This window comes from Homo sapiens, chromosome 6 (assembly GCF_000001405.40).
Source record: "Homo sapiens chromosome 6, GRCh38.p14 Primary Assembly".
Taxonomy (NCBI): Eukaryota; Metazoa; Chordata; class Mammalia; order Primates; family Hominidae; genus Homo; species Homo sapiens.
The window spans coordinates 112,673,945-112,692,532 of record NC_000006.12 but is presented as its reverse complement, the minus strand read 5'-3'; the positions used below and the strand labels follow the sequence as shown (position 1 = coordinate 112,692,532).

The 18,588-nt window shown below is 36.8% G+C and overlaps 1 long non-coding RNA gene across 1 annotated transcript in view; it reads right to left on the bottom strand.

Annotated features, from left to right (window-relative positions):
• Positions 1 to 2,633, bottom strand: part of LOC105377949 (uncharacterized) — a 79,927-nt gene extending 77,294 nt beyond the window's left edge. Inside the window, exon 1 of the long non-coding RNA XR_001744304.2 lies at positions 2,534 to 2,633. This is a non-coding gene — a long non-coding RNA (uncharacterized LOC105377949). The remainder of the gene's footprint in view (positions 1 to 2,533) is intronic.
• Positions 2,634 to 18,588: the final 15,955 nt, after the last annotated feature.

Below are 18,588 nucleotides of genomic sequence, written 5' to 3'. Positions count from 1 at the left end.
TCTATGTGGCACTGTCAGGTTACAGTCAATACATATATAAGGTTTGCAAAGATTTTATTTTTTATTTTGCATAATCACTACAGTCAAGGCGTAATGAAATGGGAACTCCCATACACTGCTGGAGAGTGAAATATGGTCACCACAATGCTACAGGTACCCCAGGTTCTCTAATGGGTTCCTTGGCCTCGACTTCCTTACGAAAATACTTCCTATTTCAAGTTTGCCACCTTCTCACAATAGCCAACTCATCTTCCCCCAATAGGATTGCCTGTGAGCATCTCTCCCCTATCAGCAGTTCAGTCCCTAATCCCTTCAGCCCCCGAGACAGTGAACGCTCCTGTTTCACCCCTAAGTCCTTTCCTTATTTTTCTGCCCTCTTCAAATCATTGGCAGTGAGACCATCCATTCTCTTCATGGAAGCCCCACATCCCTATATTCGGAAGGTGGACTTTTCCTAGGCTTTCACCAGGACGAGCTACCCTAATATGATACCTAACATTTTCTTTAAAGCAATGACACTTTGGTTAATTCACCATTCTCAAGTCCTCCCAAAGACAGTAGGTAGGTACTGTCTTTATCAGTATAACTAATGAGATCCCTCCAGTGAGATAGTTTCCCTCCAAAAGGCAAAATCATATCTTTATTCCAGAAAATCAAACTTTTAATGATCAATCCATTCTTCTCCGATTATAAAAGTTCAGTCTCTCTCAGACAACCCAAGACATTTGACTTCCATGAGAAATAATGAAAATAACTTCCACTTATTTTGAATGCTCATTTTATAACAGGCAGAATGTTAGCCATTTTTAAAATATATTTTCACATTTCACTAGGAGAATTGACCTTTGGATTAAACTCATACTATGTCAACTTCATCAAAAAGTAAATGACTCATTTAAATTTCACAATACAAACTTGTAAGGCTTTGAGATATGTAATTATCTGTGTTATATAGATGAAGAAACTGAGGTTCAGAAGGATTCCAAAAGCTAACAATCATTGCCCAACTAGTAAGTGGCCCAGTCAGAATTCAGCTGATCTGATTGCAAAGCCAGCTCTCCTTCCTGTCTGTGACAAGGCAGTCTTTGCAAGAAAGATTGTGTCTTGGTACCTTGCCTGGTGATGACTCCTTCGAGGGAAATCTGTCATGTTTCTGGAATTTTTATTAGTGAATGATATTAATTCAATTATCAGGACTGTCAAAGCAAGGGAAGTTCCAGATTATACCCTTACTGTAGCAGGAGAAGCTGCATAAAATCTTTCACTGGAGGATTCCCACGTAAAACTCAATAAATAATTTTGCTGACAATGGTGTTGATTCCAACCTAAAATGCAATGTTTAAAGTTTTTCCATTGTTGAAAATAGATCTCCTTTCAGCATCTGAGTATATAAAATATACTCAGTCTTTTCTAGAGTCTATTTCTGTTTGATAGATAACTTCTCTTTGGTAAACATAATTTCTGCTTGAAATTAGATATTTTGCTTTGCCCTAGTCTTCATGAATGCTTAAAATATTCCATGAGCAACAAAACAAACAATCCTAAATAAATAATGCACTGCAATGCTTTCAAGGACACTGGATTTTAATCAGCTGTTTGTTTGTTTGTTGCTCTGCTTGCTGTTTGGAGGAGAGCCGAATACAAACAAGGGTTAATATAAAACCTTCAATTTATTGTAAAAGGAGCTTTCTTACTTGGGTCTGGATAACAACATATCTGGCCTGCAAAACAAATCACTCAACTGTCTCAGATATTTCGGAATGAATGCTTATCCACTAATTGGCTTCAGCTGTTTTTTTCTCTTCATTATCTGAACTGAGAAAACAGCTGTTTTCGGCAAACGGTTAAGCCGTAAGTCACATGGTTAGTGATTTATGCACTTAAACGTGCTAATGGATGCCTTGTAGAGCATGGTTTTGTTTATTTGATTGTTACAGGCATAGTTAATGAATCATGACTTTGTTTAAACACATAGCAAACCCAGTCTCATGAACCAGCTCTTAATTTGGCAAGTTCACTTTCTTTTTTTTTTAGCTTATTGAAATTTGTTTGGTTTTACCTCTAGAGAATAACAAGAAAACTGGGAGAAATTAAGGATTTATATTTTTATGAGAACTGCTGTGCTTACAAGTGAGTGAAGAGTCAGTTGTCATAGAACAGAATATAAGTGGGAACAAGGGGGAAAGAAACTATTGTCTTTTGAATTATTTGAAATAATCATACTTCTGGTGCTATTTTCCTTCGAGCAAGCCCATTAATCTCAAGAGAACTGGCATTCTGTTATATTTGCTTCTTAAGAAATTGACACATGTTTAAATGAAATCTTTGAAGTTATTGAAAGAGGTATTTTCTTACTAGTTTGATTGGAACAGGTCAATAACAAATGTGGATGCTTTTTTGTAATTAAAAAGTTTTGTCATTCTATTAATAATAATAATGATATATTTGTGTAGATTCCACCACCTATAATTACATTCAAAGTAGACATGAAGTTAAAACAATGAGCAAAATAGCAAAAAACCTGAGATTTTACCTTCAAAATATAGTATTTTCAATTAGGGTTGATCTTAAATTATACTGAGAGGTGACAGCATGCTGGCAGTCCTCACAGCCCTCGCTCGCTCTCGGCGCCTCCTCTGCCTGGGCTCCCACTTTGGCGGCACTTGAGGAGCCCTTCAGCCCGCCGCTGCACTGTGGGAGCCCCTTTCTGGGCTGGCTAAGGCCGGAGCCGGCTCCCTCAGCTTGTGAGGAGGTGTGGAGGGAGAGGCGCGGGCGGGAAGCGGGGCTGCGCGCGGTGCTTCCCTGCCAGCGCGAGTTCTGGGCCAGCGCGAGTTCCGGGCCAGCGCGAGTTCCGGGCCAGCGCGAGTTCCGGGCCAGCGCGAGTTCCGGGTGCGCGTGGGCTGGGCGGACCCCGCACTAGGAGCGGCCGGCGGGGCCCCACCGCCCCGGGCAGTGAGGGGCGTAGCACCTGGGCCAGCAGCTGCTGTGCTCAATTTCTCGCGGGGCCTTAGCTGCCTTCCCGCGGGGCAGGGCTCGGGACCTGCAGCCCGCCATGCCTGAGCCTCCCCGCGCTCCGTGGGCTCCTGTGCGGCCCGAGCCTCCCGGACGAGCGCTGCCCCCTGCTCCATGGCGCCCAGTCCCATGGACCACCCAAGGGCTGAGGACTGCGGGCACATGGTGCGGGATTGGCAGGCAGCTCCACTTGCAGCCCCGGTGCGGGATCCACTGGGTGAAGCCAGCTGGGCTCCTGAGTCTGGTGGGGACGTGGAGAACCTTTATGTCTAGCTCAGGGATTGTAAATACACCAATCGGCACTCTGTATCTAGCTCAAGGTTTGTAAACACACCAATCAGCACCCTGTGTCTAGCTCAGGGTTTGTGAATGCACCAGTTGACACTCTGTATCTAGCTACTCTAGTGGGGACGTGGAAAACCTTTGTGTCCACACTCTGTATCCGGTGGGGACGTGGAGAACCTTTGTGTCTAGCTCAGGGGTTGTAAAGGCACCGATCAGCGCCCTGTCAAAACACACCACTCGGCTCTACCAATCAGCAGGTTGTGGATGGGGCCAGATAAGAGAATAAAAGCAGGCTGCTGGAGCCAGCAGTGGCAGCCGGCTCGGGTCCCCTTCCACACCATGGAAGCTTTGTTCTTTCGCTCTTTGCAATAAATCTTGCTAGTGTTCACTCTGGGTCCACACTGCCTTTATGAGCTGTAACACTTACCGCGAAGGTCTGCAGCTTCACTCAGGAAGCCAGTGAGACCACGAGCCCCAGAAGAACGAACAACTCCAGACACACCGCTTTAAGAGCTGTAACACTCACCGGGAAGGTCTGCAGCTTCACTCCTGAGCCAGCGAGACCACGAACCAACCAGAAGGAAGAAACTCCGAATACATCTGAACATCAGAAGGAACAAACTCCGGACACGCTGCCTTTAAGAACTGTAACACTCACCGCGAGGGTCCGTGGCTTCATTCTTGAAGTCAGTGAGACCAAGAACCCACCAATTCCGGACACAATACTAGTACATGAAATGATAGGCTTTTCATGGACTTTGAATATGGGTCATTTTAGCTTCCTCAAGTAACCTGTTCTAGCCTTTAATCCTTAATGTCAGAAAGTTATTCTTTTACCTAACAAAATTCATTTGATTTTTGACCAATTTAACTTTCATAGATTATAACAAATTACTATTTGACAGAGCATTAGAACTCCAGTAACCAAGTTCTCTGATTTTACAGATAAAGAAACAAAGCTTCAGAGAGGTTAAGTGTATTCCTGACCACATAAAAGAAGGCAAATTCAGACGTGTGATTTGCAAAAGTTTTTTTTTATTTCTATGAGTTGTGTCTTCACTTTGTTAACTATTTTATTTGCTGTGCAGAAATGTTTTAATTCGATGCAATCCCATTTGTTTTTGCTTTTGTTGCCTGTACTTTTGGAGTCATAGCTGAAAAACGATTACCTATACCAATATTGTATAGCTTTTCTCCTATGTTTTCTGCTAGTAGTTTTGCAGCTTCGGGTCTTATATTTAAATCTTTGATGCATCTTGAATTGATTTTTATGTATGGTGTGAGAAAGGATCCAATTTCATTCTGCTGCGTATAGATATCCTTTTCTCAACACCGCTTATTGAAGAAGCTGTCCTTTCCCCATTGTGTGTTCTTGGCACCTTTATCAAATATTATTTGACTATAATATAAATGTGTGGGTTTATTTCTGGATTTCTAATGCTATTCCCTTGGTCAACGTGTTTGTTTTTATGCCAGGACCATGATTTTTTATTACAATAGCTTTTTAATATATTTTGAAATCAGTAAGTGTGATGCCTCTGGCTTTGTTCTTTTTGTTCAAGATTGTTTCAGTTATTTGAGGTCTTTTATGGCTCCATATAAATTTAATAATTTGTTTTCTATTCCTGTAAAAAATGACATTGGAATTTTGGTAAGAATTGCATTGAATCTACAAATTGCTTCAGGTTGTATGGACATTTTAAAAATATTAAATGTTTCAATCCATGAACATAACCTATCTTTCCATTTGTTTATTCTTTAATATATTTTAATAAAATATGTTTAAAATTATTATACAATAAAATACGTTTTTAGAATACAACTATTTTTAAAATTTATGTCAGGGTATTCTTTCAGTTTCTAGCACAAAATAGGCACCTAATCAAAACCCATAATAATAACAATGGGAAAAATAAAAACAAAATGTATATGTTAAAATAAACACACAGGAATGTTTAGAAATATTTTGAGAATGATAAGAAGTAGCCATGCCAGGTATTACGTATAGTATAAAGTTACCAAAATAAAATTTATAATAGTATAAAAATAAGCAAAAACTCTGTGATAAAAATAGTTCAGAACAAATTTAAATGTATCAGAAATTTAGCAGGTAATAAATACAATATGTTACTGAGGGAAAAATAGATTGGTCAATAAAATATTTGAGATGAACTGATTTTTCCTGGAAAATAGCTAAGTTGAATATCTAGTTCTCTCTTTATATTAAAATAAATTCCAGATGGATTAAATATATAAAGTAAAAATAAAAATATCAAATTCCTTTAATAAAAAGTAAAAGATCACTTCATAGCATGAATATGGGAAGAGTCTGTATATATGGCATATATTCAAAGAAACCATACAAGATAAGATCAATAAATTTAAATATATAAAACTAAAGACATTTTCTTAAAAAATATAAACAGAGGCAAAGGATGAACTACAAACAGATGAGAATACTTACATTACATAAAAGGATAAAATTTCTTAAATATACAAAGAGTTCTTAAAAATCAGCAACACTATGTCCCACACACAAAAAACAACCTAATGATGAAAGGGTTTGAAGAGATTGTTCCAGGAAAGGAAATAAAAAGCAGAATTTAAACAAATGTAAAATATTATTCCTAATAGAAGAAATAGAAATTAAAACAAGGTGCTGTTTTCACTTACGAGATTAGAAAAAATCCAAAAGTTTAATAAAATGCTATGTCAGGGAGAAAGTAGAGAACAGGCAACCTCATACACTAATGATATGACTATAAACTAGCCAGATCAAGTAGTAGAAATGTTTGACAATATCTATCACGTAGTAGAAATGTTTGACAATATCTATCAAAATGTAAAATGCCACTCACTTCTAAGAAAATGTGTCTTGCAGACAGAGCTGCATGTGTATTAAAGTGTGTGGAATAATATTTATTTCAGCATTCCTTATACTGGCAAAAAGATTAAAAACAATTGCATTGTCCATCAAAAGGAGACTGATTAAATAAATTATTGTAAATTCATACATTTGTAGCCATTTTTAAAATGTTCATTGACATAGATTCATCCCTGAGTTTGATAGTAAGTTTAAAAAGCACAATGTGAATAGCATGCATCACACCATTGGGGTGTAGACGCTTAACAATACATAAATGCTGTAAGTGTATGCTTATATATTGGTAGAATACTTCTGGGATGATACATAAAAACAGCAATTTCCATTTTTTAAAAAAAGAATGGGATTGAAGTGAGAGTGGCATTTATTTCTCATTAGATTGTCTCCTGGTATGTTTAAAATTTTGAGTCATCTTTATGGATAAGCTATTCAAAAATAATAAAAATAAATGTAAGCAATGAAACATACTTGTTAAGTGATTTTTAAGATTCTGTGACTTAGACCAGACACGGTGGCTCACGCCTATAATCCCAGCACTTTGGGAGGCCGAGGTGGGCAGATCACCTGAGGTCAGGCGTTCGAGACCAGCCTGACAAACACGGAGAAACCTCGTCTCTACTAAAACTACAAAACTAGCCGGGCGTGGTGGCACATGCCTGTAATCCCAGCTACTAGGTAGGCTGAGGCAGGAGAATCGCTTGAACCTGGGAGGCGGAGGTTGCGGTGAGCCAAGATCGTACCATTGCACCACTCCAGCCTGGGCAACAAGAGTGAAACTCCGTCTAAAAAAAAAAAGATTCTGTGACTTAAATGGGTGTGGAAATAAGGATTACATTTGCTCATTCTGGTAATCACTTTAATACAAACACATCAACTAATTTTTATGGGACATATTATTTGTTGCCTTCTGCCAAATCCATCCACCTGTAATTTTTAACTTTTTCAAACTTCAGGCTCATTCCATTCCAATGGGATGATACAAATTCTTAGCAGTGCCTAGGAGTATATCAGGAGCCCAATTTTGATCAGTGGGAAGGTTCTGAAACGCATTGCTCTCCCAAACTTCAGTATCCACTCAGTCTAGGTCCAATCCATGTGTCTACACATATCATACACTAGCCTATACCCTTAGCCAAACAATTTTTTATAACTATAAATCTGTTATAGTATAGATATATACTATGGAATAGCAGACATGTATAGAATATTTAGTATCTAGTTTTATGTATGTAATATAAAATAAGATGATAAATATATTTATGCATATTTTTTTCCTGCTGCTTCTGTGGGGCTTAAAGTCTTGCCTTGGAAGATAATCCTAATTAGACAATAAACCCCAGCTGCAGATCCTACCAGAAAGATTAGACATTACTCCCAAGAATTTGCTCCCAAACATTGTTTAAAGGACAATTAAAAACCTAAAATTATTCAACACGTTGCTCCCACTGACTCACTTGAATGTGTGTTCTCCACTCCAGGATTCTGTGATCAAGTTAAACACCACTGTTTTTTTGATAAGTCATTTCATTACTTTATGTATTATTAAAATATTAAGTTATATATGTAAATATGACAGTGGATATTTTTATCACATTGATGATAAGATACATCCCTATTTCAGAGATGAAATACAATGTGATGAAAGCACTAGAATAAAGATAACTTTGGAAAAGATTCCACTCTCCTAGGAAACTACCACAAGTGACATTATATAACCAAACAGACAATTTGAACCCCAGTATTTGACTATATTATGTCAATATTTCTAAAGAAATCTAGTGTGAAGAAATAGGAAAGATATAGATAAATACTTTATTGAGGCATTGACACAGCATTAGTCATACAGAGGTTCAAAGAGATGCTTGTAAATTGAACTGAAAATTCACTATTTTATATACATAAAATAAATGTATAAAGTCAACAAATTAAAGGAAAAATACTAATTAAGCTTAAGCAAAACACATGTAAAAATCTGGCAATGTATCTCAGGATTCTCTTTGTAAAATACTTCAATCTTGAAAAGAAATGGACCAAAACTATTATTAAGGATTTAGGAAAAATCTCTCAAATAAACACGAGGGATTTTATTTTGATAGTTGGTTTATAAAATGAAATTCATCCATGGAAAAAGTGGAAAGTCATTACTCATTACAACTAGAAAACTCACATGCTGGTTTAGATGATGTAATTGTCTCTCAAGACTTAGCAAACTGGATCACAGATCATGCCTGTTTTTTGAATTCAGTTTTACTGGAACATATCCATGCTTATTCATTAATCTATTGTGGTTAGTTTTACACAACGATGCAGGACTGAGTAGCTGCAAGAGCTCAAAAAGCCTAAGATATTTATTACTCAGCCCCTCACAGAAAATAATTCCTGACCGTGGTCTAGATTCAGTTATTAAGTTCTCCTGTTTTATGCATTTGAATGCTATAGATTGATAAAGCTGTAGATAGCTGTCTTATTACATAGCATAAAACAATTTACTTCTCAGTAATACTTTTAAAAATAGAATTAAAAATACAAAATAAAAGGAATATAAATTTTTAAATATTTATCTATGAATCTCTACAAGAATATAATCTTTTATATTATGCATTTTCCTATTCTACACTTATAGAAAAATGTAAAAGATTTAAAAAGGACCACCTTAAGATGGGTTAATTAGCATATTTAAGTATATTTACATATTATATACTTATATAAAATATATAAATATATTTGGCCTTTTCTGCATAATTATTATCATAATTATAATAATCATACCATCACACATGAAGTGGAATCTTATGACTTTTAAAGTAACTTATAACCCTCTAGAATTCTATTTATTGATTGTCTTAAATAAACAAGGTTTTGCACAGTGTAGTTAGTATACACAAATTTGAAATTGAGTGTCTATGCCCTGCAAAACCTTGAGTTGAAACACAAAATATACATTTAAAAAATAAGCAACAATACAGGATAGCCATGCTAAATGACATGCATGTTGCAACAGGAGAAATCAATCACCACCAGGTAGGACACTCTGGAAGAGATGCTCACCAGAGACAGTGCTTAACATGAGTTGTGACTCACCTTAAGACTTACATAAAGAAAACAAAAGATTTACGCAAGAGAGAATAGTATAGTATCAAAAATAAACACAAGAATAAGCAAAATGAAACATTGGTCTTGCTTCAGTTTTCCTTTTTAAAAAATAGCTCATTTAGCCAGGCACGGTGGCTCAGGCCTGTAATCCCAGCACTTTGGGAGGCCGAGGCCGGCGGATCACCTGAAGTCAGGAGTTGGAGACCAGCCTGGCCAACATGGTGAAACCCTGTCTCTACTAAAAATAAAAAAATTAGCCGAGCGTGGTGGCACATGCCTGTAGTCCCAGCTGCTGGGGAGTCTGAGGCAGGAGAATCGCTTAAATCCAGGAGGCGGAGGTTGCAGTGAGCCGAGATCGCACCACTGCACTCCAGCTTGGGCAACAGAGTGAGACTCCGTCTCACCAAAAAAAAAAAATAGCTTATTTAAAATTTTAAGCAATACAATATCATCTGAGAAACTAATGTTCAGATAGAATAAAGACCAGTCCAGGGCCACACAGCTCATAAGTTAAGGATTATTTAAAATCAGCACTCTGACTACCAGATGCTATCATATTTAAATAAGTCCTGTTTTGTTGAAGAGGTTTCAAAGAGACGAGTAATATGAAATGGGTTTGGAAATGTAAGAAAATCTCAGTCAGAGTATGGAGGAATTTGAGGGTATAGTGTTTACACTACAGGAATGGGGAAACTACTGACAATCTTAAAGCAAGACAGTGAAACATCCATATGGGGAGATGGAGAAAGAAACCTGTATCAAAGGGAACACAGTCCTGTCTTTGAAAGCCTTTAAATCCAAATGTAGCGATGGCCTTTGTAAAAGTAAAATGACTTTTCTCTGTAATTCTTTAAAAATATATTTCTATTTGTAAGCTTATGCCAACACAATGATTACTTAAGATGACAAAGAGACCACCCACTACATTACGATCTGTCTTGGCAAGCTGGCAGTGTATTCATCTCATGTTAATTTTGTGGTTTGGTTTGTTCTTACAGGTCTTACAGGTCTTACAGTTCTTATGGGTATGCTTATCACGCCCTGGAGCCCCATCCGGAAAAGATCCTTTCAGATGCTGTCAGTTTATTATGAGGATAATTCACATAGAAGTGACCCGGGCCTCTAGTGCCAGGCCCTGCCTTGTTCCCTTGACCCATCTTATCTGAAGCCACTTGACATTACTACAAGCTAGCATCACAATAAGAAAAATTTAAAGAAGAAACAGCTCAACTACTCCAGGGCTCCGTAAACCATCAGTCTTGCTGCTGATTTACCTCTATTTTTTTTACCCCATTTGTAGTCACTGTTTCCTTGTCTTCTTTTCTTTCATATAACTTCCGATTATGCTAACTTGTCCAAGGTCTTCATTCTTTTAAAAGTAGGTCCCCAACTCCCATATTTATTCTGATTCTTGCACCCAGTGGTGAGGTCTCCACCACTATGTACTAAGCTCCTTTACATCACCTTCTTAGTACAAGGCCTTGGTACTCCTGGATAAACTGCAAGCATGTTTTATAATGCCATCTCTATTGAACTTTTCTTGTTAATTTTTTCATGGACACTTGTATTAGTCAGTTTTTCCAGTTATAATTATGCATAATCAACAAGCCCAAACTTTCAGGCTTACATTGTTCAGGCAAACATTGACTTCTCATTCGTGGGTCTGGGGATTGGCTGCAGTGGGTCTGTTCCAGGCTGTGGGTTGGGTACAGGTTTACTCTTTGTGTTTCCTTATTCTAGGATCTAGGTGAAAAGAGAAGCTTCCATCTGTGATGTGATAATGTCATGGCAGAGTGCAAGAAAGATGAGAAGAAGCACATAATGCCTTTTAATACCATGCTTACAAAGCATGATCTCAATTCTGCACCTTCCATTTGTCAAAGCAAGTCATGTGACCAAGCCAAAAGCCAGTGGGATGAGACACTTTACCATGTCCATGGGGAGTCCTAACAAGGGCAGAGAAGGAAGGATAATTGTGGACAATCTATCACAATATATATAAGCTACTGCATTATGTAAAGGAGGAGGATGGTTTGTTGATATAACATTAGAAGAAGTTGAGATGGTTAATGTTTGTTTTGCACATGGTCAAATAATCTGCTCTTTCAAATATTTTCCAAATAAGCTTACTTGGAAAACATATTACTCCATTTTAGGCCTTGTATCTTTCCACAGAAATATGTTGAATATGAATTCAAGTCTGAAATCATAGGTAGTACTAATGAGACAGAAATGCAACTGATTATTTTTTACTTTTTGTTTGTTTAGTGTTGCTATTACCTGTGTTACCTGCTGTTCAACCACATGCATTAATGTTTCTCAGTTTGATATTCATTTATTCAGTAGAAAACAGTAGAATGTGAAAAGGTGCCTGTTTCTATTTCTGGGACATTTTACTATTTTATTTTTCATTAATAACGTGATACTTTTTCTCTCAATCATTTGTTTTCTTTGTTAAAAACCAAGTTTAATTGTAGGAAATCAACCTATGACTTTTGCACCAAGAGGAAGCACAAAGAAATAATCTCTGCATTTTTTAGATTAATTTTTCTTTTTGTGTGCTAGGAGAAGTAAGGGGAAGTTTGTTGTTTAATGAACAAGTTCAAACAAATTCATAGACGTAAAACCCAAATGAACCTTAAGAGCTCGCCAGCTTGATATCATGTTTCCCTTCCCACAACTAAATAGTATTGTCTCTTTTTACCTGAAACAAAATGCACATCCTTCATTTGTTTGTGGTGACATTCTCCAACCTGCCAATATTTAATTCTTATCTGATTAAATAAAACAGAGAAGCATAAAAAGAAATGCTTATTAAAAAAAAGAAAGAAAGAAAGAAAATGTCTCCATGGCTGGCAAGCTTTCTTGTTTTTCTGTGTGTCCTGGCTAATGGACAAGGATATGTTTTAAAACTATATGATAGTCTTAAGCACATTTGTAATTTTTAACTTACCATCAGAGTACTTTAGCTAGAAATAGTTGTTCCAGAAAAATATTTGAAGAATGAGGAAAATGCACTTATTTATCCAATGACACATAAACTTAGACTCTCAGAATAAACCCTAAATCCTTTGAAACTGAATTAAAACCAAGAAAAACTTTTTATACACAGTGAAAATTAAACCAGAAATTGGCTTTGTGAAATGGTTACCCTAAAATCTCCTACACTAAATGGTGTAACTTAGTATAAGTTTCTTCTGATAGTCAAGAGCTGATTTTTACATGTTGAAGGACAAAAGATATCTTTTATTCAAAATTAATTCAGTTGCAGAAAATCTTGATGCCATATTTAAGAATACACACACACACACACACACACACGCACACATTGGAAAGCTATCTAAGTCCTCTAAATTTTGCCCAACTTGCAGGAAATAAATTTCTTAAATGATAATAATTTTGATAAAATATTATTTTCCAGAAATAAGTGAAGGTAAGCTCTCCTTATTTGGAATGAGAAAATTATGTTCTAGAATCTGTAGCTAATAAGCACACAAATAAGTGACTAATAATTATTCAAAAAGTGATATTTGTTCCTTTATTTACAGAAGCCCATTTGACCACATTAGAATATTTTTAAATAAGAAGTAGGATATAGACACATTTACCTTCTGTCTCTACCAAATCAGTAAACTTATTGAGATGCCTATAAATCTACTAATACGGCATTTGAGAGCTGCATAATTAGGAAGAATCTGATCATCATTAAACCACTTAATCATTTCAGTATTTTAAAAGTTACATATCATGATGGTAATAGCTCTTGTTTTTTGATCACCTGTTGTATGGAGGCACTGCACTAGACATTTTTTTCTGATCATTTGCAATCTTTGCTATAATCCAACAGATAAATATTATTATATCCATTTTATAAATGGGACAGCTAAAATGAAATAAAGTAGTTTCCCCAAATCTTTTAGTGTTTGACTCAAATTATTTCTTCTTTCTATTATACAATGAAACCTATAAAGGGGTGAATTATTAATTTCCTATTCCAATTTAGAACATGTTAAGTGTAAGATTATTATGGCAGTTTGCCGATATTTTGGGGATCTGACACCTCTCTGGTTGACATATCCATAAGCTCCCTTTTCATATTAGTGTCATCTATTAAGTTTCCTGTCGCAGGTCTAGATGTTAACCTTGAACTATGAAAAAAAACCTGTAAATTAAAGTAACACATGAAATAAAGTGACAATTGCAGTTTTGTCTCCTCTGTGAAAAGATGCTATGAAAAGATGCATATGTCAATGTCAACCATTAATTCTATTAATTAAAAACAAGAAAGCATCTCCCGTATTTCTGATCATATCAAGTGTTCATCATGCCTCTTACAATACCTAGTCTATAAATAAAATGTGAAGATGCTTATATTGACTTGTTTCCATAGTGATAAAAGTCTTTCCTTGAGTTCTCAAGGCAATGTGCAGTAGCCTAGCAAATTGGACAAGCATGGGAGCTATTTGTAAAGTAATAGGTTAAAGAGAAGCCAGGATAATCCAATAAGAAATGATCTAGATAAAAACAGAACCAAGAATCTCAGAATGTGAACATTTTGGTTTTAATGACCTGCTAACATTTTTCTCTTTGTGAAATAAATGTGAAACTATATTAAGAAAGCATAAGACAATGTGCACATCCAGTTAGCCAAGTCATGCTTACATAAATGATTTTTTTTCTAGAATATAATCATTTATTATAGAAGAGAAGTCAAACTTTTCCCACCTCTGAGGCTTAGTTTGGTTGGGTGGATGATTTACCAACAAATATTATATTTGTTTAAAGTTATTGGCCTTGACATCAACACAATCCTCAATTATGAAAATAAGAAAAAATAATTTTTTGGTAGTGGCAGGAAAAATGTTGAAAAAACAAAACAAAATGCATTCTCTTTCTTGAAAGAATTAAAAATGAATAATGCACAATTCTACAATTCTTTTTTTTTTTTATTTGAGACAGAGTCTTGCTCTGTCACTCAGGCTGGAGTGCAGTGGTGCGATCTCGGCTCACTGCCACCTCCGCCTCCTGGATTCAAGTGATTCTCCTGTCACAGCTTCCCAAATAGCTGGGACTACAGGCCTGTGCAACCACCCCCGGCTAATGTTTTGTATTTTTAGTAGAGATGGGGTTTCACCGTGTTAGCCAAGATTGTCTCAATCTCCTGACCTCGTGATCCGCCCGCCTTAGCCTCCCAAAGTGCTGGGATTACAGGCGTGAGCCACCGTGCCCGGCCCAATTCATTTTTAAATATCTTGATACATGACGCCTGTCATAACTGCTAGGGTAGTTGGAATCTGCCAGAAAACAAAACCGAAACACACACACACACACACACACACACACACACACACACACACACATTTATCTCCTTCCTTGAGTTCTTCCAGCATCTTCATTTTGACATTAATAAGCAGGTTGAAACCGTCAGATGAGAAAACACAAGATCACCTTTTTTATTTTCCAGAAACAATTTTTATAGCAACTTAATTCTGGCTGAATATGAGAGAAGAATACATGAGAGTCATATCCTTAAGCAAGTGCTCTGAGAAGATGTTTGCAGTTCATGACCAAAGAAATAGCAGAGTAAGGAGGTTACTCAAATACAAGCTATAAAATAGGCAGCAAAGGACTTTCCAGCTAAAGCTAAAGCTTTAAGTCACTTTCTAACAAAATATCAAGAAAAAAAAAACCTCAGTAACAACACCTTAAGCAACTACAATAACACAGAACTGTTCTTCAGCCTATAATAGGAGCAAAGCCTCACAGCATGAAGACTTTTCTGAAACATTTTCTTTGATAATACTTTTTTACTGGCCAATTTTTTTTTCTTTTTTTATTATTATACTTTAAGTTCTAGGGTACATATGCACAACGTGCAGGTTTGTTACATAGATATACATGTGCCATGTTGGTGTACTGCACCCATCAACTCATCATTTACATTAGGTATTACTCCCAACACTATCCCTCCCCCAGGCCCCCACCCCCAAAAAGGCCCTGGTGTGTGATGTTCCCCTCCCTATGTCCATGTGTTCTCATTGTTCACCTCCCACTTATGAGTGAGAACATGTGGTGTTTGGTTTTCTGTTCCTGTGTTAGTTTGCTGAGAATCATGGTTTCCTACTTCATCCATGTCCCTGCAAAGGACATGAACTCATCCTTTTTCATGACTACATAGTATTACATGGTGTATATGTGCCACATTTTCCTTATCCAGTCTGTTATTGATGGACACTGGGGTTGCTTCCAAGTCTTTGCTATTGTGAATAGTGCCACAATAAACATATGTGTGCATGTGTCTTTATAGTAGCATGATTTATAATTCTTTGGTTATATACCCAGTAATGGAATTGCTGGGTCAAATGGTATTTCTAGTTCTAGATCCTTGAGGAATTGCCACAATGGTTGAACTAATTTGCACTCCCACCAACAGTGTAAAAGCGTTCCTACTTCTCCACATCCTCTCCAGCATCTGTTGTTTCCTGACTTTTTAATGATCTCCATTCTAATTGGCATGAGATGGTATCTCATTGTGGTTTTGATTTGCATTTCTCTGATGACCAGCGATGATGAGCATTTTTCCATATGTCTGTTGGCTGCATAAATGTCTTCTTTTGAGAAGTGTCTGTTCATATCCTTTGCCCACTTTTTGATGGGGTAGTTTTTTTTTTTTTTCCTTGTAAATTTGTTTAAGTTCCTTGTAGATTCTGGATATTAGCCCTTTGTCAGATGGATAGATTGCAAAAATTTTCTCCCAATCTGTAGGTTGCCTGTTCAATCTGGTGGTAGTTTCTTTTGCTGTGCATAAGCTCTTTAGTTTTATTAGATCCCATTTGTCTATTTTGGCTTTTGTTGCCACTGCTTTTGGTGTTTTAGTCATGAAGCCTTTGCCCAGGTTTGAATGGTATTGCCTAGGTTTTATTCTAGGGTTTTTATGGTTTTAGGTCTTACATTTAAAACTTTAATCCATCTTGAGTTAATTTTTGTACAAGGTGTAAGGAAGGAATCCAGTTTCAGCTTTCTACATATGGCTAGCCAGTTTTCCCAGCAACCGTTTATTAAATAGGGAATCCTTTCCTCATTGCTTGTTTTTGTCAGGTTTGTCGAAGATCAGATGGTTGTAGGTATGTGGTGTTATTTCTGAGGCTTCTGTTCTGTTATTGGTCTATATATTGATTTTGGGACCAGTACCATGCTGTTTTGGTTACTGTAGCCTTGTAGTGTAGTTTGAAGTCAAGTAGCATGATGCTTCCAGCTTCGTTCTTTTTGCTTAGGATTGTCTTGGCTATGCGGGCTCTTTTTTGGTTCCATATAAAATTTAAAGTAGTTTTTTTCCAATTCTGTAAAGAAAGTTAGTGGTAGTCTGATGGAGATAGCATTGAATTTATAAATTACCTTGGGCAGCATGGCCTTTTCACGATATTGATTCTTTCTATCCACGAGCATGGAATTTTTGTCCATTTGTTGGTGTCCTCTTTTATTTCGTTGAGCAGTGGTTTGTAATTCTCCTTGAAGAGGTCCTTCACATCCCTCATAAGTTGGATTTGTAGGTATTTTATTCTCCTTGTAGTAATTGTGAATGGGAGTTCACTCATGATTTGGCTCTCTGTTTGTCTGTTCTTGGTGTATAGCAATGCTTGTGATTTTTGGACATTGATTCTGTATCCTGAGACTTTGCTGAAGTTGCTTATCAGCTTAAGGAGATTTTGGGCTGAGACCAAGGGGTTTTCTAAATATACAATCATGTCAGCTGCAAACACAGACAATCAGACTTCCTCTTTTCCTAATTGAATACCCTTTATTTCTTTCTCTTGCCTGATCGCCCTGGCCAGAACTTTCAATACTATGTTGAATATGAGTGCTGAGAGAGGGCATGCTTGTCTTGTGTCAGTTTTCAAAGGGAATGCTTCCAGCTTTTGCCCATTCAGTATGATATTGGCTGTGGGTTTGTCATAAATAGCTCTTATTATTTTGAGATATGTTCCATCAATACCTAGTTTATTGAGAGTTTTTAACATGAAAAGCTGCTGAATTTTGTCAAAGGCCTTTTCTGCATCTATTGAGATAATCATGTGGTTTTTGTCGTGGGCAATTTTCTTTAGTTATTTATTCATGTCAGTGGTTTGGCATTGATATGATTTATCAGTCTTGTAATTTACAGTTAATATTCAGGCAAATTTTCAAATGTGTCCAATAGAAATATAATGGACATGTGTATTTCCATCTGCCCCGTATTCTGCATCCTTTCACTGGATAACAGCAGGCGCTTTGCTCACATTTTTTCAGACTATATAATTCTGGTGAGCTGTCACAATTCCCTGCACACCTGACCACAATTCTCCAACAAGTGTTGGACCCATGACCCAAGCCTGAGCAATTAGAATCTTCTGGAGTTTTAGATATGGTCAATGGGAGCAAAGAGCTCTCTCATGCTTCTCTGAGCTCTAGCTAAGGTAATGTTAGCCCCCACCATCACCTTCTCTGCCCTCCTGGAGGTAGCCATCTGTATTAGGAGAGAATAAGCCAATAATTCCTAAGAAACAGAGCCAAGATGTGAGAGAGATAGGGAGAGTAGGAGCGTCAGTAACACTGTTTGAGTCCCTGGATGGAGTCTCACTTCAGACTAGATTTCAGTTTGTCTTTTTATTATTATTATTGTGGTAAGAATACCTAAGATGAAATCTACCCTTTTGCCCAGTTTTGAAGTGTACAATACAGTGTTGTTAACCATAGGCATAGTTTTGTACAACAGATCTCTAGAAGGTAACCATCCTCCAGAAATGAAACTTTATATCTACGGAAGTGAAACTTTATATCTACTGAATAGCAACTTACCATTTCACTATCCTCACAGCCCCTGACAAACACCCTTCTACTCTTTCTTTCTGCATTACTATATTAGATACCACATATAGGTTGAATCATGCAGTATTTATCATCTTTGACTGGCTTATGTCACATAGCATAATGTCCTCAAGGTTCATCCATATCATCACATATGGCAGGATTTTCTTCTTTTTTAAGTCTGAATAATATTTCATTGTATGTATATACCACATTTTCTTTATCAACTCATCAGTCAATAGACATTTAGGTTATTTTCACATGTTTGCTATTGTGAATAATGTTGCAGTTAATGTGGGAGTCCAAATATTTCTTCAAGATCCTGATTTCAATTCTTTTGGATAAATATTCAGAATCATTAGATCAGATGGTATTTGATATGGTTTGGCTCTATGTCCCCACCCAAATCTCATCTTGTAGCTCCACATGTTGTGGGAAGGACCCAGTGGAAGATGACTGAATCATGGGGG